This window comes from Homo sapiens, chromosome 6 (assembly GCF_000001405.40).
Source record: "Homo sapiens chromosome 6, GRCh38.p14 Primary Assembly".
Lineage (NCBI taxonomy): Eukaryota > Metazoa > Chordata > Mammalia > Primates > Hominidae > Homo > Homo sapiens.
The window spans coordinates 116,345,236-116,371,843 of NC_000006.12; the positions used below are offsets into that span (position 1 = coordinate 116,345,236).

General features: G+C 39.4%; 1 protein-coding gene and 1 long non-coding RNA gene across 17 annotated transcripts in view, besides 6 other annotated features; one reads left to right on the top strand and one right to left on the bottom strand.

Annotated features, from left to right (window-relative positions):
- The window catches only part of DSE (dermatan sulfate epimerase), a 190,691-nt gene that overhangs the window by 91,065 nt on the left and 73,018 nt on the right, over positions 1-26,608 (top strand). For 4 of the 16 annotated variants that reach the window (NM_013352.4, NM_001322944.2, NM_001322943.2 and 1 more), the window contains exon 1: positions 25,712-25,886. The exons of 8 other annotated variants lie outside the window; for them this stretch is intronic. Coding sequence is in view for 1 of the 8 variants with exons in the window: in NM_001322939.2 (NP_001309868.1) it covers positions 24,689-24,692 (4 nt within the window). In the remaining 7 variants the exon portion in view is untranslated. Of the gene's footprint in view, positions 1-10,444; positions 10,582-20,847; positions 21,983-24,583; positions 24,693-24,879; positions 25,039-25,711; positions 25,887-26,608 lie in introns of those variants that run through there. 4 more of the 16 variants (NR_136523.2, NR_136522.2, NR_136521.2 and 1 more) reach the window with 4 other exon arrangements.
- Positions 7,493-7,602: an enhancer, noted in NCBI's record as "active region_24986". NCBI's record gives its function as "activates an Ori minimal core promoter by ATAC-STARR-seq in GM12878 lymphoblastoid cells {active_cell/tissue: GM12878}" and the evidence as "EXISTENCE:reporter gene assay evidence [ECO:0000049][PMID:35858748]".
- LOC100287467 (uncharacterized) lies at positions 22,190-26,484 on the bottom strand. The gene has a single exon (NR_148944.1). It is a non-coding gene; the product is annotated as an uncharacterized LOC100287467 (long non-coding RNA).
- Positions 24,519-24,568: an enhancer, noted in NCBI's record as "active region_24987". NCBI's record gives its function as "activates an Ori minimal core promoter by ATAC-STARR-seq in GM12878 lymphoblastoid cells {active_cell/tissue: GM12878}" and the evidence as "EXISTENCE:reporter gene assay evidence [ECO:0000049][PMID:35858748]".
- Positions 25,499-26,028: a silencer, noted in NCBI's record as "silent region_17492". NCBI's record gives its function as "represses an Ori minimal core promoter by ATAC-STARR-seq in GM12878 lymphoblastoid cells {active_cell/tissue: GM12878}" and the evidence as "EXISTENCE:reporter gene assay evidence [ECO:0000049][PMID:35858748]".
- Positions 25,499-26,085: a biological region, named in NCBI's record as "Sharpr-MPRA regulatory region 2122".
- Positions 25,791-26,085: a silencer, noted in NCBI's record as "tiled region #2122; HepG2 Repressive DNase matched - State 4:PromP, and K562 Repressive non-DNase unmatched - State 4:PromP". NCBI's record gives its function as "represses a minimal TATA promoter and a strong SV40 promoter by Sharpr-MPRA in HepG2 and K562 cells {active_cell/tissue: HepG2 | K562}" and the evidence as "EXISTENCE:reporter gene assay evidence [ECO:0000049][PMID:27701403]".
- Positions 26,083-26,583: an enhancer, noted in NCBI's record as "H3K27ac hESC enhancer chr6:116692481-116692981 (GRCh37/hg19 assembly coordinates)". NCBI's record gives its function as "activates a minimal SCP1, AML or CMV promoter by ChIP-STARR-seq in primed H9 embryonic stem cells {active_cell/tissue: H9 hESC(primed)}" and the evidence as "EXISTENCE:reporter gene assay evidence [ECO:0000049][PMID:30033119]".

The following is a 26,608-nucleotide window of genomic DNA, read 5'->3' on the forward strand; positions in this document are numbered from 1 at the left end:
AGGAATTGAACTCAGCTCTGCACCAAGCGGACCTAATAGACATCTACAGAGCTCTTCACCCCAAATCAACAGAATATACATTCTTCTCAGCACCGTATTGCACTTATTCCAAAATTGACCACATAGTTGGAAGTAAAGCACTCCTCAGCAAATGTAAAAGAACGGAAATTATAACAAACTGTCTCTCAGACCACAGTGCAATCAAACTAGAACTCAGGATTAAGAAACTCACTTAAAACTGCTCAACTACATGGAAACTGAATAACCTGCTCCTGAATGACTACTGGGTACATAACGAAATGAAGGCAGAAATAAAGATGTTCTTTGAAACCAACGAGAACAAAGACACAACATACCAGAATCTCTGGGACACATTTAAAGCAGTGTGTAGAGGGAAATTTATAGCACTAAATGCCCACAAGAGAAAGCAGGAAAGATCTAAAATTGACACCCTAAGATCACAATTAAAAGAACTAGAGAAGCAAGAGCAAACACATTCAAAAGCTAGTAGAAGGCAGGAAATAACTAAGATCAGAGCAGAACTGAAGGAGATAGAGACACAGAAAACCCTTCAAAAAATCAATGAATCCAGGAGCAGGTTTTTCGAAAAGATCAACAAAATTGATAGACTGCTAGCAAGACTAATAAAGAAGAAAAGAGAGAAGAATCAAATAGATGGAATAAAAAATGATAAAGGGGATATCACCATCGATCCCACAGAAATACAAACTACCATCAGAGAATACTACAAACACCTCTACGCAAATAAACTAGAAAATCTAGAAGAAATGGATAAATTCCTGGACACATACACCCTCCCAAGACTAAACTAGGAAGAAGTTGAATCCCTGAATAGATCAATAACAGGCTCTGAAATTGAGGCAATAATTAATAGCCTACCAACCAAAAAAAGTCCAGGACCAGACAGATTCACAGCCGAATTCTACCAGAGGTACAAGGAGGAGCTGGTACCATTCCTTCTGAAACTATTCCAATCAATAGAAAAAGTGGGAGTCCTCCCTAACTCATTTTATGAGGCCAGCATCATCCTGATACCAAAGCCTGGCAGAGGCCCAACAAAAAAAGAGAATTTTAGACCAATATCCCTGATGAACATCGATGCAAAAATCCTCAATAAAATACTGGCAAACCGAATCCAGCAGCACATCAAAAAGCTTATCCACCATGATCAAATGGGCTTCATCCCTGGGATACAAGGCTGGTTCAACATACACAAATCAATAAACGTAATCCAGCATATAAACAGAACCAAAGACAAAAACCACATGATTATCTCAATAGATGCAGAAAAGGCCTTTGACAAAATTCAACAGCGCCTCATGCTAAAAACTTTCAATAAACTAGGTATTGATGGGATGTATGTCAAAATAATAAGAGCTATTTATGACAAACCCACAGCCAATATCATACTGAATGGGCAAAAACTGGAAGCATTCCATTTGAAAACTAGCACAAGACAGAGACGCCCTCTCTTACCACTCCTATTCAAAATAGTGTTGGAAGTTCTGGCCAGGGCAATCAGGCAGGAGAAAGAAATAAAGGGTATTGGATTAGGAAAAGAGGAAGTCAAATTGTCCCTGTTTGCAGATGACATGGTTATATATCTAGAAAACCCCATCATCTCAGCCCAAAATCTCCTTAAGCTGATAAGCAACTTCAGCAGAGTCTCAGGATACAAAATCAATATGCAAAAATCACAAGCATTCCTATACACCAATAACAGACAAACAGAGAGCAAAATCATGAGTGAACTCCCATTCACAATTGCTTCAAAGAGAATAAAATACCTAGGAATCCAACTTACAAGGGATGTGAAGGACTTCTTATGGAGAACTACAGACCACTGCTCAATTAAATAAAAGAGGACACAAACAAATGGAAGAACATTCCATGCTCATGGATAGGAGGAATCAATATCCTGAAAATGGCCATACTGTCCAAGGTAATTTATAGATTCAGTGCCATCCCCATCAAGCTACCAATGACTTTCTTCACAGAATTGGAGAAAACTCCTCTAAAGTTCATATGGAACCAAAAAAAGAGCCCGCATTGCCAAGACAATCCTAAGCAAAAAGAACAAAGCTGGAGGCATCATGCTACCTGACTTCAAACTATACTACAAGGCTACAGTAACCAAAACAGCATGGTACTGGTACCAAAACAGCATGGTACTGGTACCAAAACAGAGATATAGACCAATGGAACAGAACAGAGCCCTCAGAAATAATACCACACATCTACAACCATCTGATCTTTGACAAACCTGACAAAAACAAGAAATGGAGAAAAGATTCCCTGTTTAATTAAGTGGTTCTGGGAAAACTGGCTAGCCATATGTAGAAAGCTGAAACTGGATCCCTTCCTTACACCGCATACAAAAATTAATTCAAGATGGATTAAAGACTTAAATGTTAGACCTAAAACCATAAAAACCCTAGAAGAAAACCTAGGCAATACCATTCAGGACATAGGCATGTGCAAGGACTTCATGACTAAAACATCAAAAGCAATGGCAACAAAAGCCAAAATTGACAAATGGAATCTAATTAAACTAAAGAGCTTCTGCACAGCAAAAGAAACTACCATCAGAGTTAACAGGCAACCTACACAATGGGAGAAAATTTTTACAATCTACCCATGTGACAAAGGGCTAATATCCAGAATCTACAAAGAACTTAAACAAATTTATGAGAAATAAATCAAACAACCCCATCAAAAAGTGGGTGAAGGATGTGAACAGACACTTCTCAAAAGAAGACATTTTTGCACCCAACGGACACATTAAAAAATGGTCATCATCACTGGCCATCAGAGAAATGCAAATCAAAACCACAATGAGATACCATCTCACACCAGTTAGAATGGCAATCATTAAAAAGTCAAGAAACAGGCTGGGCACGGTGGCTCACGCCTGTAATCCCAGCACTTTGGGAGGCCAAAGCGGGTGGATTGTGAGGTCAGGAGATCAAGACCATCCTGGCTAACACGGTGAAACCCCGTGTCTACTAAAAATTAAAAAAATTAGCCAGGCATGGTGGCTGGCGCCTGTAGTCCCAGCTACTCGGGAGGCTGAGGAAAGAGAATGGCGTGAACCTGGGAGACGGAGCTTGAAGTGAGCCGAGATCGTGCCACTGCACTCTAGCCTGGGCGACAGAGTGAGACTCCGTCTCAAAAAAAACAAAAAAAAACAAAAAAAAAACCCCAAAAGTCAGGAAACAACAGGTGCTGGAGAGGATGTGGAGAAATAGGAATACTTTTACACTGTTAGTGGGACTGTAAAGTAGTTCAACCATTGTGGAAGACAGTGTGGCGATTCCTCAAGGATCTAGAACTAGAAATACCATTTGACCCAGCCATCCCATTACTGGGTATATACCCAAAGGATTATAAATCATGCTGCTATAAAGACACATGCACACGTATGTTTATTGCGGCATTATTCACGATAGCAAAGACTTGGAACCAACCCAAATGTCCATCAATGATAGACTGGATTAAGAACATGTGGCACATATACACCATGGAATACTATGCAGCCATAAAAAAGGATGAGTTCATGTCCTTTGTAGGGACATGGATGAAGCTGGAAACCATCATTCTGAGCAAACTATCTCAAGGACAGAAAACCAAACACCACATGTTCTCACTCATAGGTGGGAATTGAACAATGAGAACACTTGGACACAGGGTGGGGAACATCACACACCAGGGTGGGGTGGGTGGAGGGGGGAGGGATAGCATTAGGAGATATACCTAATGTAAATGATGAGTTAACAGGTGCAGCAAACCAACATGGCACATGTATACATATGTAACAAACCTGCACGTTGTTCTCATGTACCCTAGAACATAAAGTATAACCAAAATATATATATACACATACATATACATATATATCAATATTTATATACACTAATATAAAATGGATATGTATACATATATACATATATCTACACACACACACCCATATACATACATACACACCTCTAAACCTGGATTCCTAAAGGTTTTCCCATGCCAGTATGGCTTAGTGATTGGATAGAGGTTGTGCTGAAACACTTGAGCCAATGAAGTTTCTGTCTTTTGCCAAAGGATCTCTGTGTGGTAGGGGAGCTCACTCAGAGTTCAGGTGCTTTCAAGCTGACTCAAGCTCCAGCTTTTACTGACCACTGGACCTTTTCTTATCTCTTTTATGCAAACAAATTCAGGGGTAGCCGGGATTGAGTGACTAGCTCGGGCCTTCTCCAGGAAATATACACAGCCAGAGAAGTATTCTCCAACTGTGACTACAGCCTCAGACTAGTAGAGCAGTTGGCTTTCCCTGTTTACCCACCTCAGAGATCAGCACTTTTACCAAATATGCTGCTGGGAGTGGTCATTTCTCATCACTCCAGATTGAGTGAGCTCTCATGGATCGTGACAGAGAAGCTGCCTGTCCTCATGGCCTGGCCTCCTTCTATAAAACCTCTGTCCTTACTGAAGTGAGGAGGAAGGGAGGGCAGATATGTGAGTAGCTTCAGGCTAGAATGCCACAGGTTCTCATTATTCTTATATTCAGCAGTTTTTCAAGCCTAAACACTTCTCAGGTTGTATGCCTTTGGTTGATTTTCAGAGTGCTAAAATGATTGTTTTTGTCAATTTTATCCAGCTTTATAGTTACTTTTTACAGAGAGAATTTGTCTCCTCACTTGGCCATAACCAAAAGCTCACCACTTACTACCTTTAAAAGAATCACTTACATATTAATTATTTCATGTTTACATGCATAGTCTTTTTAAAAAAATACCTAAATGTACTACTCCCTTTTATAGTGTTTAGGAATCTGAACTTATAATTTTAAGAGGCTAATTAGCTCAAATCCAGTTTCATTTTTAAATTTTATATCTTGCTTTTTTCTATGTCAAAATGATTTATCTCATAAGAGAACAGGATAGTAAGAAAACTGAAAAGTGATCAGGCCATTTCGTATGCCTTAATAAAAACTGCCCAAGATGGTATGGTTGAGGAAGAGTATGAAGATCAATGGGTATGGGCCTACATTATTCTAGGACTGACTTATTTCCCTATAGAGTGGAAATCTTCTACTTCTAACTTCTGTGGCAATAAATTCTTTTTTTAAAAGCATGATTATATGAGAACTCTTCAGAGAAAAGAACTTGTATCTCTTCTTTTCGTATCACAAAAGCTTACTCTAGTGAATTCTGGGTAACCCAAACTGAAAATTAAATTTAGAATTTGCAGGGTCATGAGCTTCTACCCAGATTATCTCAGGAAAAGGTATTAAACAGGACCATCATTACCCCATTAATCATAAAAAAGTCCAACTGACACAATTGTCTATTCTTTGAGGGAACAAAAAACCCAGTCAGGCAGACATTGTTTTGTACTCATTTGGTAATTTTGATATTTAAGACTATTCCTTGGACAGAAAAGTATATGACTCTCTAAATGTCAGGCAAGTCCATACCACTATGATGATATTCTCAAAGATGAGTTATGTTCCATGCAAGTATATTCACTAAACGTGTACGGTACCAAATACTCTGACTCCAAGTAATAAAAAAAAATAGCTTTTGGGTCTTTTCCATGCCTTTAGACATGACGAACATAGACTATTTAATTGTATAAAGATTTTCCTGGCATATCTTCCTTTTGGAAAAAAAAAAAAAGTCCTGAAAGTCCTTCTGTTTTATGAAATATTCTAGTCTCTGTTCTGCATTATATTATTTTACATAGAACTTACAGTCTTAAAAAAGAATGTTCATTTGTTAAAAAGCTCCCAAATTGACTAATATTATTGCTATTATAGTTTGTTTTTACATAGTGTTTAATAGAACATTTGTTGTGATTAAGCAAGATTGCTTCTTTGTCTTCTTTTCTCTTTTCTTCCAAATAGTTCAACGCCATTATAACTTTCCTGTAACAGAGATGGGAATGTTTTCCTTCACTGAATCCCCATCTCATGAATCTACAGTCTTGAAACCCTTATTTTAACAGAACAGTCATCTGACTCGGTTTGGCTGTCTCATACCAAGATCTCAGGGCAGCAACAGAGTAACCCTTGCTGGTACCTGTGAGAGAAAACAAAGGGTCTGTTTTGAGTATAGTAGAAGGTAAAAAATGAACTTGATACTTCTTCACATCTTAAAACTTTTATTTTTTTATTTAAGAAGTATGCTAATAAGTTGTAACATGAACATTTAAATCCCTAGGAACCATCTTTATAGTTGATTATAATATATTTTTATTGGCTGAATATATCACAACTACATTCTATTCCACTCTATTATAGTGATGTTTGTTATTTATTAATAACTATTATTTTTACCTCATTATAAAATAGCTACATAATAGGAAATGTTTAGTAATGTTCTGCAAAGAGGAAAAAAAAGAATAAGGGATATTGACCATCTTGGATAGTTTTTCATGAATTCAAAGTCCTCAGTAAGTGATTTTAGAAACTCAACTTTATCAACTTAGTTCAAATAAGCAGTCTTTGCTGATTAAAATAGTCTTTTCTGTCATCAGAGTATTCCAATTCTAAACTCAGAGAATTTAGGAATTTCAGTTTATAATCAGAAAGCTCCCTGGTGAACTATGAATAGTGACAAAGGCCTTAAGGAATATTTATCCCAACTTTGGTAGAACCTGGAGAGTTGTCTTTTACATTTTATCATGCACCTTTCTAGTAACTGCAGTTCTTCTATCCCACAGTGGTACTCTTTAGTTTATGGGAAATTTAAATCCCGATATTAAATCTTTATTAATTTGTGTAACCTCCTTGGTTACACTGGCCTGTAAACAAAGCTCATTTCAGTCTCTGCTCAAACCCTTGGAAAAGTTAGTTAATATCTCTGAACCTCAATTCTGCCTGTAAATATGTAAATGAAAGGAACCAATTAGATGTCTAGCTATAACATTTCTTGATTTTAAGTGTTTATACTTTTTTAGAATCACCACTCTCCATATATTTGTGTGAGCTAGTCAACTATTATCTATCTACTCATGGCCTCCTTGGTACAACCAGTCCTTTCAGACCTTAACTTATCCTGTTCCTGCATCCAAGAATCAATTCAACTAAAATGGCTGGTCAGAACCATTTTTTCTCTTGATCACAAGGGTTCTCCAAACACAAGGATTCCTCAAATGATAAAATACCTGCTCCAGAAGAATCTCTCAATATGGTGCTGAATTTGCATAGGTTATTGATCCTAATTTCTAGACTCTGAATGGAGGCTAGTTGTGCTTGGAGCAGTGGTTCTCCAAGCATAAGGACTTAAAATCCACAGGGTTAGTGCTGGGTGAGGCAGAGGTCAGTAGCTCTTGAACTGGATAGTAAACATCAAGAAATTGAGAAATAAAAAACAGGAACTTTGGGATGCTTTTTAAAACCACCACAGCCTCAGATGTTTGTGTTGAAGGAGTAAGATGGCCAAGAAAAAAAAAATGTTAGGTCTGAGAGTTTACTCATTCCAATAACAGACCTGGCAGAGAAATCATTACCCATTTTGCAACACAGCCTTAGGGCAAGTCTGGGCAAGCTCTGGGTGGGCAAAAAATAGGCTTTCCAAAACTCACCTAGCTTTCCAGCCCACCCCACGTACATGCCCCACACGTGAAGTCTTCCTTTCTTTCCTCGTTTCTTTCTCCTTCCCCCCTCCTCCTTCCTCTCTCTCTTTCTCTCTTCCAGAATGAATGATTTGTATGACTGTGGAATGTGTTTGTCAGACAAGTCCATCAGGGACTTATAACAGTCCCTTAATAGGGTAAGAGAGAGATATGAGTCTTGTGGTCATAAGTGGTTGGGCTTCCCCACTACCTCATTCATTTATGTTAGCTAACTATTAAAATCTAGGTCTTTACTAATTTATAGTTAAAATATACATAGGAGTAAATGTGTGTTTGTGTGTGTGGGTCTGTGTGTGTATAAACACTGATGGATATTTTTCCAAATGAACTGATGATGACCTCTAACTTCTGGTTCATGAGAAGGAACTTTATGTCCTACTTTTGCTCTGGAAAAATGAAAAGACTGCTAAGGGGGAGTAGTCATGATGGAATTGTGCATGTGTGTGTTAGGTAATATTGGGTGGAAAATTAAGGGATATTTTCCTTTGTAGTATTCCAAATAAATCTGTTTATGTGATAGATAGTTACTTGGAATAAATATCTTTCTTCATGAGTGCCTTCTTAATTTCCAGAAAAATCTTATAAAGGTTTCTCAGTAAGGTTCTTTAAATAAACTTTGTTTCAATCATAATAATACTAGCTACCATTGAGCATTTACACTTCCTAGCATTGTGTCCAACACTTTACATTCTTTATCTCTCATCCTTATACTCTCAAAAGATGAGGCATTGATATTCCCAGAAAACTGAGATTTGGGGAGGCTAAGTAAATTTGCTTAAGGTTATGGAACAAATACATTGCACAGCTGTTACTTGATCATAGATCTGACTGTCTCCAACCATTGGACACTTACTGTTGTCACATAAGGGGATTCAGACAGATATCTAGCTTATTTTATAACTGTTCTCATTTGATGAGAGATTGTCTATAAAGATGTTTGGTTTTTGTGAGCTTTAATGGCTGATGTAAAACAATTTGGTAATTATTTTAAATTTAAAAAAATCTTATAATCAATCTAAACATACTCCTATGTCATATACTGAGACTCTTAGAAAATATTTTAGAGTAGAGGCAAGCAGTCTTCAGATACTGAATTATAATGCCTATCTACTTTTAAAGAGTGATATGACACCACTTTCAAAAATCTAGACTTCAGATGGCTTCCAAATGTACACCTATATCTACAGCAATACTTGGATATAGTATTTCCTGAAATATAGTCTTTCTCTTAAAGAAAAAAAGAATAATATTAGTTCAGGTCCTTGATATATGAGGCAAGGATTAGAGATTTGTTAAGTAAATGTTGACCCAGACTATATAACTCTAATGAGCAAAATCCCTTTAAAATTTTTAAGGAGATGGGATAACAGTAAGTAATATTTATTGAAAGCCTGTTGTGTGTTATGTGCTACTAGGAGCTTAGACAACATAACCTCATGTGGACCTTACAACTGCTCTGGAGGTCAGTCATTGTTCTTGAGTCGGGCTCTTTTTTCTGGTATAAGAAACAGAGTCACCCCCTCATGCTGTCTCAAAAGGCATGAGTTATTTTAAGGGAGAGTGGGTGGAGGGTTTGTACAGTAAGGGAACCAGGAAGCTCATGGAATTGTCATACAATCTGGCCTTACAAGCACTTCAGTTACAACTCTGTCAAAATGGGAAGGGGCTCAAGAAACTTGCTTTTCCCATCTAAGGAAAGGATGGTATTTTCTGGCTTTTGGTGAGGTGATTTATCTTCAGAATGGGTCTAATCTGAAAACAGACCCCACTGGGCAGAAACATGAAATCCATGTTCATAATTATGTAAATGAAATGAAAATTACTTGCATTCTTATAACATCTATATAAAAATTATAATTTTCTGTTTATTTTCCCACAGTTTTTCCTGTAATTATATTTTTTGGTTACATTACTTTTTATAATAAAATAGTGACATGTTTTACATTACTTTTTATAATAAAATAGTGACAGGTTTTATAATAAAATAGTGACAGGTTTTATAAAAAGCCAATCTGTAATTGGCTTTTTAATGAAATGTGCTTTCCATGGAAATACGCCAAATTTGACACTGGTGTCAATTTCACTGTACTCATTCACATATATAATACACACTACACATTTTTACATAGACACATACATATATAAAGGCACACATACCTATATGCGTAATTCATTTAAGCATTTTTATTATTGGACACTTGAGTTGTTTTCAGTATTTTGCTAATTTAAACAACACCATGTTGAACAACTTTGCATACATACAGTTTCACACATACGTGCATATATTCTAAGGAGTGGAATTGCTGGATGCAAATTTACATACCTTTTAAAGATTTGTTACATATTTGTCCTCCGAATCCTCTCTCAAAGTATTGTACCAATTTATACTTCCCCCAGCATTATATGAGACTCACAATTTCTGTGTACCTTCCTCAAACCTTCACATTCTTCTAATTTGAGCACTTCAGGTATGACCAGACTGTAGAGCCTCAGGTTACTGCTTATTTACCAATTGTTTTTCAGCTGATACTTTTAAGCCTTCTACTCCAATTAGGCCACAGACTCCTATTTCCTTTCCTTTTAGGATAATGCTGGCTAGGGCTCATTTAGCCTAATTTCTGTTTTGTGCCCTAGTAGAGTAGCTTCCTTTGTCCATGCTTAAATGATTTCAGAAGTCTAAAAGCGAATTTTCCAATACATATACCCGCTTCTTTCATGTCAGTAAAATAAAAGCATTATGGGACTGCTCAATTTGATATGTTATCTCAACTAATCTGTTAATACTAAATTGCAGACACTCAAAGGTGAGAATCAGTCCTAGGAAGATTGTGAGCAACCAGTCTACAATGCAAATACTAAGCAGGCTCAAAAGCAGATCTATAACTACAGCTGCAGCTCCATCAAGGCAACAAGTGGACACATCCTGGCAAAGTACAATCTGACCTCCTTTGTTTTACATTTGCTCATTGTTCTTTAACACATTTTAACTTGAAAAAGTTAAATAGCCTTCAATAACAAGACAATTACACTGTCATAGAATTAGTGTTGAAATCTTCCAGCTCACATACTAGACAAAACATAGTTCGCCCAATAACTATCTGGAGGATCCCTGAAGAGGATGCTAACCACATGACTATTGCTTCCCTTATTCAACCCACCCCTGAATGGCATGAAGGCTGTTAGCTCAGAGTGAAGAGGCTTTTAAACGCTGTCCTGTAGATTGGTATGGACAGGCTGCACTTCCGATTTATCTAGAGAGATATAAGACATGATCCATGGCCAAGGTAATGGGGTGGGCTCAGACATTTTTAAGTTCCTCCAGTAATTTTGGTAAATAGTTCTAGTTTTTGGAACTATGGCTCAGAGCATCAAAGAGAAATGTAGCTCCTGCTCCCATCCTGTGAACTTTACACAACTGCCTAAAGCTATGATATCTAATATGGTAGACAGTAGCCACTAGGCACATGTGGCTATTGGCCACTTGAAGTATGCATAGCTAGTCAAGATTTCAAAGACTTACACTAAAACCATAATGTTTTGGACATAGGGGGTTACATAAAAGTATTATAAGACCTAATTTCATCTTTTTAAAAACATATTTTAATGTGGCAATAAAGCATTTAAAGTTACATAAGTGGCTTACATTATATTTCTACTGGACAATTTTGATCTAGAAGGCATAGGTTCCATAGCTCAGGAACTTTGAGTCATAAAATTTTAAAGTTATAGGAATCTTGTAGATGAAACAATTATCTCACTTTGCGAATGACGAAACAGGTACCCCATTGGTAAAGTGACTTATTCTGGTAACCTGAGTTGTTGGTAGAGCCAGGGTATTCCCGAATCCCACAACTCTGGATTTCCATCCAATGCTAGCTTCTCCCTCCCGTGCTGCTTGTCTTTGGCGACAGTAGCCACACTGAGTGTTTTAGGATTCCTAGAATTCTGAGGCATAGAAAGCCTCACCACTCATAGCCCCTGCTGTAGTCTCTGCTCACCAGATTCTGTTTGCATAACTAATGCGTCCAAATTCATTACTACAGAACCATAGTCATGCCCTTAAGCAGATGCCTCCTCTTTTCACCATCTCACATTATTAGTTTTGCCTCCACACGGAGCTATGGTTTAAGTGAGGCCTTAGTATCTTTGCAAAATATGGTTCCAAAAAACAAATTCTACTTATTTGAGTAGTGTGACATTCACTAATAATATTTCTCCCACCCGCATGTTTACTAACATTCTGGTTTTCTCTGGCATCCAGAGAACAATGTTTCTTCTTCTCCAGTACTAGTTAGAAGGATCAAGTGTTGATGGGTGGTGAGCCCCTCCCTGGCTCATGCCCTTTAGCCACAAAAACAAGTTATCAGCCGGGCACGGTGGCTCAAGCCTGTAATCCCAGCACTTTGGGAGGCCAAGGCGGGTGGATGACGAGGTCAGGAGATCGAGACCATCCTGGCTAACACGGTGAAACCCCGTCTCTACTAAAAATACAAAAAATTAGCCGGGCATGGTAGTGGGCACCTGTGGTCCCAGCTACACAGGAGGCTGAGGCAGGAGAAAGGCATGAACCCAGGAGGCAGAGCTTGCAGTGAGCCGACACCGCGCCACTGCACTCCAGCCTGGGTGACAGAGCGAGACTCCATCTCAAAAAAAAAAAAAAGTTATCTTTTTGCATGGCATCAGCAGAGCCTTGCTTATATAACAGTTATTTTAAGCCAAAAAATTGTTTTTCTTCTTTCTCATCTTTTAATAAAATATGTAAGAACTTTAATAGTGTTATTGGTAAGCATCCAAAATATTTAGAAACTACTTCCCCTACCACAGAAATATTTGCTGCTCTGAAGGGTGCAAAGGATCTACTTTCCCCAATGATTCCAAGCCAGTTGAGATTCATGCATATATGTCCCAAAATGTATTAAAATCCGCGTGCGCACGTGTGTGTGTATTTTTCAAAGTCAGTGCAGATGCATAGAAATGCCCGGCCCATGTCTGTTGCATTTTGATGTATTTCCTTCTGAATGCCTCAAGTTTAAGCTGATCTGTCAAGTATAGAATTTATAGGGAGTAATTAACCCAAGTCACTGATAAATTAAAATGTCCCTAGGCAAATAAGAGTATGTGAATAAATCTGATTTTTTAATGATTTCTTAGAACAGGTCACAGAAATACTTTCAATTTCAGTCCTTTACTGTCTAGTTGAATCCTTGCTGCTGGAAGAAGGCAGGCAAGTCTTCTTTGCCTTTCTTCAAAGCCTGGTATCCAATGCAGCAAAAATTCCTGATCATGAGTCTCTTTCCTACATGACTTGTAGGTGATTTTTTTGTTTGTTTGTTTTTTCTGCTACTGACTGTTTCTGATCATAGAGATCTAGGGCAATGACATTCACTTTGTGAATAGTAATAAATGAAAATGTCATGTTTGGAGATATAATATCACTACCATCTGTAATAGCAGACTGCAGCCTACATTGGCATAAATACTAGTGCCATACAATTATTTATAAATGGAGCTTTGTTGAGGGGAAGAGTTATTCTTTAATTAATAAAAATCTAAGACAAAGTGGTGATGGAATATGCCAGGTGTAGGGTAGAAAATGCAGTTCTTGGAAGTATCCTTCCCAGTGGCAGGAACTGAAGACTCCAGATCAACCAGGTGGACCTTTTCGTTGATGAGCTGATAGCTTCTAGGCTGTGGGGAACCTCAGGTGCCTTACAACTCCAACTACTGCAGAATTTCTTGTTGTGCCTCATAAACAAATGATCTTCCTATTGGAAGAGCTACGTGGTCCTTGGACAAACAAAGATAGTGTATTGCTTTAAACCTTATCTATTTGCTACAGTTTCCTTCTCCTGCCAATATGAGCATGCCTCTAAATGCCACAAGGTGTTTGAATTTAATCAAAGTTGGCTCTACTTTTGCCTTTTGTTTGGCTAAAGCATCAAGCCATCTTCTTGATGCTTTATTGTGTTTATCAGTCAGATTTATGTAGGTTAGAAAGCATTCAGAAGTCATTATTTCAGTTTCATAGTTCTTAGAGGTCTATACCCTTAAACTTTGAAAGTAAACATGAACAGTATCTCTCTACACATACACAGTAACCTCAGTGCAATGTTTTTAAGCTTCAAGTTGCAATCTATTAGTGGGTCTTGAAATCTATTTGGTTGATCAAATTCTCTTTCTTTTTTAATGAAATAGACTGAAATAAAAAATAGAAACATTGACTTCTGAAACTTTAATATATATATATTTCTATATCTTTATTGTCTATCTTCCTATTTATCATCTGCCTATCCATATTAGTTTTAGTTTAAAGAAAAGGTTTGAAGAAAATCTGCCTTAAGGGAACTCTCAGAAATAGATTATTAGAGTACATAACAATTCTTATGATTTCATGCTAGACTAAATAGGGAACACTTACTATACAAGCATTTGTAGGTTTGCCTCTATGATATCTTTCACAACTTCCTCCTTCTAAACCTCCATACTATTATTTTTTTAACGGTAGATTAGAAAAGGGGGTAATCATAAGTCTTAAGGATTTTAGTAATTGTTGTCAACCATCTATGATCAAATTTAAATATACTTTTCTTCCTATTTATAATTTTAGTTCAGCTACTGTAGTTATATAGCTTTTGTTTCCTATATATAGCAAATACTGTTTTAATATTAGTAAAATTCAGAAGCTTCTTGTCTAGGTTTAAATTTCAGAGAACGACAGCTGATAGATCAGGGATAAATAAAAGTTAGTATTATTCTTTCACACTCAGAATAAAAACTGTAATACAGATCATTAATTTCAGTACAGTGTATAGGACAGGTAATATGGTTAAGTGGAAACAGATAGGCTTTGCAATATTATTACAAATTAGGAATCTATAATACTTCCATTACTTTTCAAGCATATGCTAGCTCATCTATCGTTCTGAGTGTTGATGTAGCTCATTTTACTCACCAAATGGCATCTGTTGACTTGTGAGGCAAGATCTCTTAGGTTAGTTTGTTAAGCCATAGTCATTCTTAGTAGCATCCAAAGAAAGCACAGTTCATATGGCAACATTATTTTCAAATGATTCCCCACAAAATTGTTTTACTTAAAAACTTGCTTAAAGAGAAGGTATATTACACCATGGAATACTATGCAGCTATAAAAAGGAACAAGATCATGTCCTTTGCAGAGTCATGGATGGAGTCATTATCCTCAGCAAACTAACGCAGGAACAGAAAACCAAACACCGCATGTTCTCACTTATAAGTAGGAGCTGAATGATAAGAACACAGGGAGGAGAACAACACACACTGGGGCCTGTGGGTGACAGGGGAGGGAGAGCATCAGGAAACACAGCTAATGGATGCTGGGCTTAATACCTAGGTGATGGGTTGATAGGTGCAGCAAACCACCATGGCACACATTTACCTATGTCACAAAACACATCCTGCACATGTACCCTGGAACTTAAAATTTTTAAAAATTTTGAAAAAGGTAAGGAATATTTATCTGCATCTGCATCTGGAAAAAAAGTCATATCTTGACATGTATTTTAATATTTCATTTGTAATTTCCTGGTAATTTTACTTATTGAAACATGGGGAAAATATTCAAAAGCTAGTTTTTAAAAGACTTGAAAATAAAGGTCACACCATTATCCCTCTTTAAATAGAGCATGAATATTTGAATGAATTTACCAATTTAGTGTTAACTCTCAGTCCCTTTGTAACATTAGTGTGGATACTTAATATGTACATAAATTTGGAAAAGGTCGCCACGTTGGCCGCATCATAATTCTAATAAAGTCAGATGCTCAAATACCACTTTTAATAACTTTCCTATTAAGCCCCAGCACTTTAAAGATGATAGTTAATTTTGATTCTTCAGTTACTTATTCCTCTGTGATGAATTTGACATTTTTAATTTTTTTTTAATGCCTTGCATGCCTTGGGGAGAAAAGAAAAACTATGAGTTGAGTTTTCTGCTTTTATGTGCTAATATTTGTGCTGACTGCATGACAATTAAATTCACTGGTCAGAGTTCTGATGATTTGGGATACATTTTTTAAGATGCCATTTTTTACAGCTATTATTGTAAAATTTGAGGAAAATGACATCTATAATTTTTATCATAGAGCCATTTATATTCTAATATTAAAAGAGATTTTAAAATTATGTAACTGAAGTTTTTTGTTTTGTTTTTGTTTTTTTTGAGATGGAGTCTCGCTCTGTTGCCCAGGCTGGAGTGGCGTGATCTCGGCTGACCACAACCTCCGCTTCCTGGGTTCAGGCGATTCTTCTGCCTTAGCCTCCCCAGTAGCTGCGATTACAGGTGTACGCCACCACGCCTGGGTAACTTTTTCTACTTTTAGTAGAGGTGGGGTTTCACCATGTTGGGCAGGCTGGTGTCAAACTCCTGACCTTGTGATCTGCCTGCCTCAGCCTCCCAAAGTGCTGGGATTACAGGTGTGAGCCACTGCACCCGGCCGAATATAAGTTTTAACATCAAGAAATACCCATAGCTTCTTAGTTTATATGGCTTAATGAGCTTTTTTGAGATTTACAAAATAATCAGATTGTTTTCCAGAATTATTCCTGGACTCACAATTTGTAAGATTCTTTTAAAATATCTCAAGAGAGCTGGGTGTGATGGTGCACATCTACAGTCCCAGCTGCTCAGGAGGCTAAGGTGAGAGTATCACTTGAGCCCAGGAGTTTGAGGTTGTAGTGAGCTATGATCCTGCCACTGTACTCCAGCCTGGGCAACAGAGCAAGACCCCATCTCTGGAAAGAAAAATTTGTGTGTGTGTGTATCTCATAAGCCTCTGGCTGCTCTCCAAACTCTTATTTAGTCTTATCCAGTAGAAACACATTAACCATCAAATAAATCCTTGATTTTTACTGAAAAATAAAGAAGCTTATATTTAGCAAATGTACTATCACAATAGTACTTCTCAAAAAGTTCCTGTTTAATGCATTATGTCATCAACTGATTAATGAAAAGGGACTCACAACAAACGTGAGTCGTATCTGAAGCTACAAAATAGAGCTATTCTATCATCCTCCTTCTGATGAAAATTATCTAGACTATGTATTGTATTATATACATATTTTGTATATGTCATTATATTAAAATATATACCGTTTTAGACTGTAAAGACCCTCAGAGATATTCTGCACCAGTGGTTCTCAGATGGGATTCACTTTCAAAAGCTGTAAAACTTGTTTAGACTATGCATCCTGCAACAGGTAAACTGGAATCTCTGTGATAGGGCCCCAGGTATCAAAGGTTTATAAATTCCCTAAGTGATTCCAATATACAGTCTAAGTGTTAAGAACTATTGGCTTAGGCCAGTGGTCTTCAAACTCAAAGGTACATAAGAATCACCTGCAGAGTTTTTTAAAACATGGATTCCTGGCCCTCACCCCTAGAGAATCTAATTAAGTAGATCTGGGATTGGTCTGAAAATTTTCAAGATCTCAAGTGCTATGGACTGAATTTTGTTCCCCAAAATTCATATGTAAGCCCCAACCCCCAATGTGACCATATTTGGAAATAGAGCTTTTAGGATTAAAGAAAGGCAAAATGAGGTCATAAGGGTGGTGCCTTATAAGAGGGAGAAAGAGAAATCACTCTATCTCCATGTGCAGGCCACGTGAGAACATAGGCTACTGTCTGCAAGCAAGGAAGAGAACCCTCATCAGAAACAGAATTGGTTAGCACCTTGATCTTGAACTTCCTAGCCTCCAGCACCGTGAGAAATAAATTTCTATTGTTTTAGCCATCCAGTCTATGGTATTTTGTCATGGCATCCCAGGCTGACTAATGAATCAGTGATGCTAATAGCAGTGGTCCATGGACCATATTTTTGAGCACCTCTAGCCTAGGCCACATCCCCCAGAAATTTCGCTTTAATTTGTCTGGAGGTAGTACAGGGCATCATTTATTTTCCCAAAGTTTCCTGGGTGGTCCTAAAGTATAACCATACTTGAGAACAAATGAAGTAGAATGGTTTCTTCTATTTATAGCTAAGGACACTAAGACTCAAAAGAAGTTAAGTGATTTTCCCAAGTTATCATGGTTTATGCTACTGCTGATTTTTCCAAATGTACAGGGGAAGTAAAAACAGAATTTCTTCTAGGGTCAATTTAGTCCTAGAACCTAGAACTTTCAGTTTCCAGAATTAACCCATTAATTTCCCCCCAGACAACATTAAAATTTGTCAATTTCAGGCAGATTCATTTAAAGTAACTTTTCCATTATACTACAATCCAAGATTGTTGTATCCTATATCTATTTCTACTTTGTAACAGTTGCTTTTTTTTGCCACGTTTAATGACTGATCAGAAAGTGAGATATTTAAATATATATATACACACACACATATATGCATATATGTGTGTGCTTGTGTGTGTGTGTCTATATGATAGATACTTGCCACATGTTTAATGACTGATCAGAAAGTGAGATTTTAAAATATACATATATATACACATGTGTGTGCTTTGTGTGTGTGTGTGTATATATATATGATAGATACTTAGCTGATCTTCACACCACAACATTAATCTGCCCACCATGAACAGAAGCACTGCTATCAAGTATCAGCCTTCTTGTATAATAACAGGAAATTCAGAAAATTGATTCATGCAATAAAAAGATGGAAATTTATTAGAACTTTTAAATACCTTAATTCCCAGGTATAATCAGAGGAAAAATAACTCAAGATGGGTGAAAGTTTATTAAAGATTTCACCTCAAGGACAGGCATTTAGTTAGATAGTGATTTTACATATGTAGTGATGTGAACTTACATTGTTCATATATCGGGGAGAAATTACATCATAAGTAAAACAACACATTAAGCTTAACGCTGCTAAATGAAAGGTGCCATCCCCTGCACATTCTGAGTAGGCACTTGATTTCTTTCAAAAATCAACCTTATTTCTTCTTAGGCACTGATATTTTGTTAATGGAGCAAATGAATCTACATTTTTTCATAAATTGCCAGAGTTAATATGAAATATGCACTTCCCAAAAGGAGAAGTTAGTTGTACATTTTTGGCCAATGATTCAGCAAGGAGAAGTGAGAAAAAGAAAATCTGGCTAGGAATCAGGAGGCTTGACTTCTCCTTCCACTTCTAACTAATTAGCAGCAAAAACTGGTAACAGTCCCCATCTATGTTAACCTTGGTTTCTTTGTAAAACAAAATGGTTAGAATATAATTATTCCAAGTTTCCTTATACTTTTCTCACTTAGATGACAAATACTTCTAAGGAATGCTGTGTTTTTTGTTTGTTTGTTAAACTGTTGTTGGGTTTTTATTTTGTTATTTTAACATTTTTTTAAAATGGCAGTGTTTCCATTTGGCCAAGATGAGTAAAAATGGCAAAATCAAAATGTCACTATTAAAAAATCAAAAATGAAAGAAAACATGGAAAAAGAACCAGTGTGTATTCTTTGGAGTTTGGTGAGAAAGGACATAGAAACATGTCACTAGACTACATACTTAAGTTTAACATCAGCAAACTGTCGACTATTTCCCATCTAAAAGATACTATAAATGCAAAATAGCCAAGATTTTCTTTGCCTGACACGGGTAATCTCATCAGCAGAAGAAAAGGCCTGAGCAGAAGGAGAAGTCTGAATGGCCTGGCTGTTAAATGTTTTACTGGAATTCACTATGTGTAATACTCAGGCAGCAGAAACTTGAAGTGAAACATTAACTGCAATATGAAGTCAACTTCACTAGTTCAGCCAGTATTGACATCAAATATTATTTTTCCCAAACTGCATATCCAACAAAAGTATTTAGAAAGAAATACATTAGTGAGCTTGAGTTAATAAAAACTAATCTTCACAATATTTTATATAATTAATAAACCAGAAGAAATGTGGCAAATAAACATATTCTCTAATTAATACTTCCTTTGGTTCAAGTACCTGTTTAGTAACACTTTTTTTTTTTTTTTTTTTTTTGACACCGAGTTTCACTCTTGTTGCCCAGGCTGGAGTGCAGTGGTGTGATCTCGGCTCACTGCAACCTCTGCCTCTTGGGTTCCAGCAATTCTCGTGCCTCAGCCTCCTGAGTAACTGGGATTACAGTGTGCGCCACCATGCCCGGCTAATTTTTTGTGTGTGTTTTTAGTAGAGATGGGGTTTTGCCATGTTGCCCAGGCTGATCTCGAACTCCTGGGCTCAAGCAGTTTGCCTGCATTGGCCTCCCAAAGTGCTGGGATTACAGGTGTGAGCCACCTCACCCAGCCTATTTAGTAACACTCTATAAAACAGTGGTTCCAAACTTTTGGTACATTGGAATCACAGAGTTTTAAACACCTCAAACTTTCTAATTTGGTTGGTACAGACTATAACTGGGGCATCGGAAGTTCTTTTTTTGTGGGGGGGATGGAGTCTTGCTCTATCGCCCAGGCTGGAGTGCAGTGGTGCAATCGGCTCACTGCAAGCTCCGCCTCCTGGGTTCACGCCATTCTCCTGCCTCAGCCTCCCAAGTAGCTGGGACTACAAGCACCCACCACCACGCCTGGCTAATTTTTTGTATATTTAGTAGAGACGGGGTTTCACCATGTTAGCCAGGATGGTCTCGATCTCCTGACCTCGTGATCTGCCCATCTCGGCCTCCCAAAGTGCTGGGATCACAGCCGTGAGCCACCGCACGTGGCCGGAAGTTCTTAAAGCTCTCCAGATGGTTCTAATGTGCAGCAAAGTTTGGGAAGCACCACTACGTAGCATTGGTTCTAACTCTGGCTGCACATTGGAACTATCTCGTACCTTTAAAAGCATATGGGGTATCTGGACTTCATCCTAGAAGGAATTAAATCAGAATTTCTAAGAGTACAACTAGGCATTGGTGTGTTTTGGGTTCTCCCAAGTGATGCTAATATGCACCCAGGGGTTAGAATTACTATTATAGAATACTGCCACGACAATCCTTATCTCCTCCTGAAGAGCACAGAAGGCTTGATTTCCAAACTATTGCAAAAACTGGCATGACCTCAACTACTTTTAGCAGGGTTCTGAGAGGTAGGGTATCACTCACCTTAATTGCTTCAGATCCTGCCTGAAAAATGCCCAGGCATGTTCCAGTCCACACAAGACTGATTCCAAAGGGTGTATCTCTCATTGACAGCCCCTAGAACCATTCTAAGTTATGACAATAAACACCTACTTACTGAGTTCTCATTCCTTGGCAGGTATTTTATATACAACGTTTGGTTTGCTCCTTCCAGAAACTGTATGAGAAAAGTTTGCATATCAAAATCCTACTGATGAGAAAGTGGAACTCAACAATGTTAAATGACTTGCCTGCCTAAGGTCACACAGTTAGTGACAGAGTCTAGATTTCAGCCTAGTTTTGTTCAACTTCAAAGTCCTTGCTCTTATTTGATGGACACATTAAATTATCCACCATGGTATCTAGACTGGGACACAGCCACAATCTGAAAATTGAATTCTAATTTAATAAACGTGCCCTCTGCCAGGAAATATGAGGAATGGCTATAGAAATGAAGAAGAGTCTCTACCATGAAGGAGCTTATAATACTAAATGTTACACTCCTTTTGGTCTATTAAGTCTAAGGAAAAGAATAAACATCTAATTTCATTCATTCATGTAACAAATATCAGTAATTTTTGTAATTTCAGAGAACAATATTATAATTTGGAAGGTGTTTAGGACACCTTAGGTAGTTTATAATAAGAGGTGATATAAAATCATCCATTTCAAAAGTCAATTGTCAATGAATGGAGAATAGCTTTCAACTGAGGCCAGGATACGCAAACTGTAAATGAGGCTTTAGACACAAAAAGTTAGTCTAGGCCAAGTGGTTTAGTGGAAGGATCCTAGATTTTATGTCAGAAAACATAATTGTTATGTGGTCTGAACCATTTATGGTTTGGGAAATTCACTTTAACTTTCAGAGCCTCTGTTTCCTCATCAGTCAGTGCCTGTGAGGATAAAAGGAGACACGTATGGACGTGCCTGGTACATTTCATGACCTATTAGAAGATTGTGAGGCCAGGAAGTATGTACCTGCAGAAATCTCAAATTGTGACTTGCAGTGGAGGTGGAATTCAATTATTATTAAGAATGTAGGTCAATGTTTCATTTTTTTTAAAGATGAAAACTAAGCCCACGAAGCTTGAGTCATCTGGAGATGAAGCAGTCGCAGCGGAGCAGTCTTGGTAATGGAGAAGATCATGTCAGCGCTGAGAAAGGCAGGGAGGGAGGCCTGAGCAAGGAAGCTTGGAGAAGCCTCTGGAGGATGCCTGGCCAGGGCTGAATGCTCAGAAATGGAAGGGAAAGCTCAGGAGATTATCACTGAATCAGTAAGTACAAGTACAGGGCAGTATGGCTTGAGCAAACCAAAATGATCTTACTTCTTCTGTGATCTGAAGATGAGAGAATCTATAGGTGCAGGGTAAGGCAGTTTTACAAATAGAATAATTTTGGCCTGAGGAAGAAAAACAAAAAGCATTTCAAGAATGGAAGCAGATGTATAGTCATGGACCAGACTGATTAGTAAAACATAAAAGGCAGATTAAAATTTAGTTTAATGAATTAAACTCAAGAGGAGAACAGAAGCCGCATACCTGTAACAGCCCTGTAATATTGTTACTCTGTTATTTTAGGCTAAAGCCAAGAATAAACTAAGGACGACAACAACAAAAAATAACATTTTGTTTTGTTCAGACAAGAAGAACATGGAAGGGATGCCTCTGCTTGAGATAAAATGGATGACTAAACAAAACTAATTCCCTTTTTTTTGTCTTCTCTATTATGTAAAAATAAACCATTAAATGTAAGGGATAAAATAAGCTTTCAAAGAGTTAACTGAAAAGATAGGTGAAGAAGCTTGTAAGAAAATATGTCCTAGCTGTCTAAAGCTTAACTTCTTCTTGCCTAGTAAATTTCCATCTCAGCAAGGAGAGTTTACCAATAAGGACTCTCAGCTAGAATCAGCAGAGGGAGATGAACACTAAAAAACTGGAGGTGGACAGATGGAGTTCCAGTTTTTGCCTTAGTCTGAAACCGAGGCAAGAAACTTTTCACAGATACTGAACAAAATGAATAAACCTATTATTAAAATGACATCTGGATACTTAGAAAAGGAAGACACAATTTTGTAGACATGAACCACAATTCACTAAGTAGTCATTTCCTTTGTTTTTTGACAATATTACAGTAGAGCAAAGACATCCAATAGACAAAGCTCATCTGCTGTCTGTTTGGAGCTGCATCTAGGCGTAAGGGGTCACTTTTTCCTAATCCTTCAGCTAAGGTGAGAGTGGGGATACCTTTTTCTAATTCTTACAAAAGTGCCACGTACCCATGTACACAGGCTGCTACCCTGGGACAACAGACAAAAATAGGACAAGGTAACATGTGGGTCCTCAACTGATAAGAATGTTCATCAGTAGCATTCAAATCCAGTGTCGGTTGGCAGAGGAAGGTACCTGAGAATGAGAACTTAAATGATGGCATGGCATACAGACCGGATTTACAGAGGTCATGAAATTGAGAGGTGGAATTACTCAGTTATATCAATGATACCCAATATGTCAACAAGCTAAGAGGCCTAATTTAACACAATAAAATTCAGTAGAATCACAGGTAAAGTGCTGAACACTGCATTGAGTGTAGTTGTTTAGTTCAGTGATTCTCCAACTAAACTTTTAACACTTTAAGGTTTTATTTGGTAGATTGTAATATGGAGTCAGCTGGGTAATATTGCTGCCATGGAAGCTCCAAGGATATACTTAGGGAAATACAGTAATTACAACAAAGCCATTAAACATCTTTCTAGTTTGTCACTTGGGTGAAACCTTGAATTCAATTCTTGGCATCAGGGTTTGAGAGAGATGTTGGCAAAGTAAATCTCCTCCTGAGAGCTTTCCTAATGGATGAAGAAAAGCTGATGGAGTTAATATGTACCCAGGTAAATTGAAGTATTCTCCTGTGGAATCAAGGCTAGGTGTATCCTGTAGATTCCAGAGAGCAGAATAGCAGATCTGTTGAGACTTACTGTAATGGGGTGGGCGGGGGCGGGGGGACGGGGGGGGCTTTGCACAAAGTGAATGTCATCCAGAGGCCAATTCGCAGGTCACTCAAAAGCAAAATTGTGGGGGGTGTGAGGGTAAAGGGGAGCAAATGACAGTCAGTACTACCTCCTTTGAAGAATTCTCAATCCTGGTTGTACATTGTGATCATCTAGGAAGAGATTTTAAAATGCAGATGCTGATGCTTAGACCCTAACCTCAGAGATTCTGATTTGTTGTTCTTGCGTGGGGGTCCCCATTGGAAAGAATTTATTATAGCTCCCCTGCTGATTCTAAAGTTCTAGGTTGGAGAATCACTGAACTAGACTACTACTTGCTGAGAGGTTACGTAAATTAAACCAGATGTTTTTTCTAAAGTCTCTTTCAAATTTGAGAAGATAAATGGAAATTAACACTTACGGATTACATAATACAGCTAGACACTTTCACAATTTATTCTAATAATTGAATTAGTATATGTAAATCTCTTAGCACAGTGACCGTCTGATATGGTGTAGTAAACTCTCAATAAACATTAGCTATTTTTATTATATCCTCTCCATAACTGTTCAAACAAGGTATTATATTGTTACACTATAGATGAGGAAACTGAGGTTCTGATGTTAGTTTTCCAAGGCCCACAGTAGTAAAAGCAAAGTTTGGATTTGAACCAAAGATTAGTTCCAGTTTCCAGAGCCCTCTTCTCTCCTCGACAGGCCTTCCCTAAAGCATCAAGAAGTTTATGCAAATTAGTGGTTCACCTGAGTGAACATTTAAAAAATTTAATAGTACCACTTCCTCTTGACCTGTTTGTAAGGAGTTCCTCTTAAATGCAATTTCTGAAAAAGAGAAGCATAAACTGAGACATCCACATTTTTTCCTTATTTGGCCAAATAGAAGTGAGAACCTCTGAGGATAGAGGAATTGGATGGAGGTGCCCTTCAGAACTCATGGAGAAAAGCACTGCTCCCAGTAAAATATCTCTCATTCTAATGAATGGGTAAGTATCCTACAAATCTTTCACTTCTGTACAATCTAGGTCTGGTAGGTTACTTGCACACACTGGGTGGAGGTGGAAGGGGCAAAGTATTCCTGAGGTGATGGCCCTGATCCTACCTCACATCTCCTTGGGGCCTGGTTGGACCTGGCTGAGCGTGTTTGAGCAGTGGCTGATTTTTGGAAAACAGGAGGACTCTTCTCCAGGAGGCTGTGACTACCAAGGTTGCAAATGCTCCACCTGAACTTGGGTGCATGAGGGATCTCTCTCTCTCACACACACACACCCCCCCACCGCGTAAGATAAATTTCTGTTTGTGAGCTGCCTACATTAAATGCTTTGCTCCTGACCTTCTGTGATTAAAATCTGTTCCGTTTGCAGGGTTCGGTGCGCTTGGATTTAGTGTATTTTGTTGGTACAGTAAAAAAGAGAACTGCTTCTCTATAGGTGACCCCCGCCCCAAAGTCCCCCCTCCCACTAACTTCTCTTTGAGAAGAGAGTAAAACCGAATTCGAGAGAAAAGAGGCAGTAACTATTCGGGAGGAGGCAGACTGGAGTGGGCACCAGTCCCGGTAGTAAGAGTCTTAACGTCTTCCTCGCTTTCCTCTCGCAGAGTAGTATGGAAGCATCAGCTCCTCCCCCTGGGCCTCCAAAAGTTACCTTTCCTTTGGGTGTGATTCTCGAACCCGAAGCGTTTGAGTCCTAAGAAACTAGAACAAGTTAGAGCCAAAGAGGCCTGGCGGGCGGGGGTGCGGGTGGAGTCCGGGCCGGGTGGCGTGGAAGGCCGAGCACAGCTGCGAGCGGCGAGTCCCGGGAGAGGAGGAGCGGGAGAAAGCGGGGCGGGCCTGCGGTCGGGGTTCGGCCGGGGGAGGGGGTCCCCGTTTCCCTCTCCTCATCCTCGTCTCCTCTGGCTCTGGTGACGTTGCGGTTTCCTCCCCCCTCCAGCGGAGCCTCAGCGCCCGCCGCGTCCCTCCCTCCGCCCCTTTCGCCCACACCTACCCGCCCCCGCCGGCCCGGCTCTCAGTAGCGTCGCCCGAGGCTGCAGCAGCGCATCCCGGGGCATGGCGCGGCGGGGGCGCGGAGGGCTCGGTTCGGAGGGGGCCGGGAGCCCGGGCGCCCTGGAGTGAGGAGGACCGGGAGCTGGCTCTGGAGGCTGCGGAGGCGACGCCGGAGAGAACGAAGCCTCGGCTGGGAGCGGTAAGTGGAGGGGCGCGCAAGGGACGAGCTGGGGCGCGCGGCGCAACTTTCTTCGGGAGTTTCGGGCGGGTAGCCTTCGGGGCTGTCCCGGCGCGGGCGGGAGACGGAGAGCCACGTCCCCGGCTGAGAGCGGAGCGCCGCGGGTTGCGCGCCCGGGCCCGGCTCGGCTGGACTCCGAGAGAGCGCCTGACGCGTGAAGCCTGAGCCACGGGCTTCCCCGGCGGCGGAGCAGCCTCGAGGGGCAGCTTTTCGATCCTCCCCACCCCCTTGAACGCCGAGCACCGAGCCGGGAACACGATGAGAACCTGGAGATCGCATTCCGTGCGTCGGATCTGGCCGGCCCAGCCGCGATTTCCTCGACGGTCCTTGGGGCCTCGGCTTCACTCTGCGGGGTTGGGTGGCACACCCTCGCGTCCTCCTTTCCCTCCGTACCCCAGCCATTTGGGGGCAGGGGAGGTGGCGGCGGCTTGTGTGCAGATCCTGGCGCTGGCAACCCTACTTTGCGGCTGCAGAAGCCGAGGAAGAGCTCCCCAAGCCTCTCCCAGACGCTGGATTCCAGCGCTCCTGGGCTCCGCCGGCACTCGGAGAAATTGTTAGTAAACCTCATCCCCGAGGCAGTCCCGGGGAGGGGAGGAGGCGGGGGCTTGACTCACAGACTGGGAAGCTCTGAAAGCGATGCCACATGGGCTCAAGATCTGTCGGGGCTGGAATCTGAGCTAAGT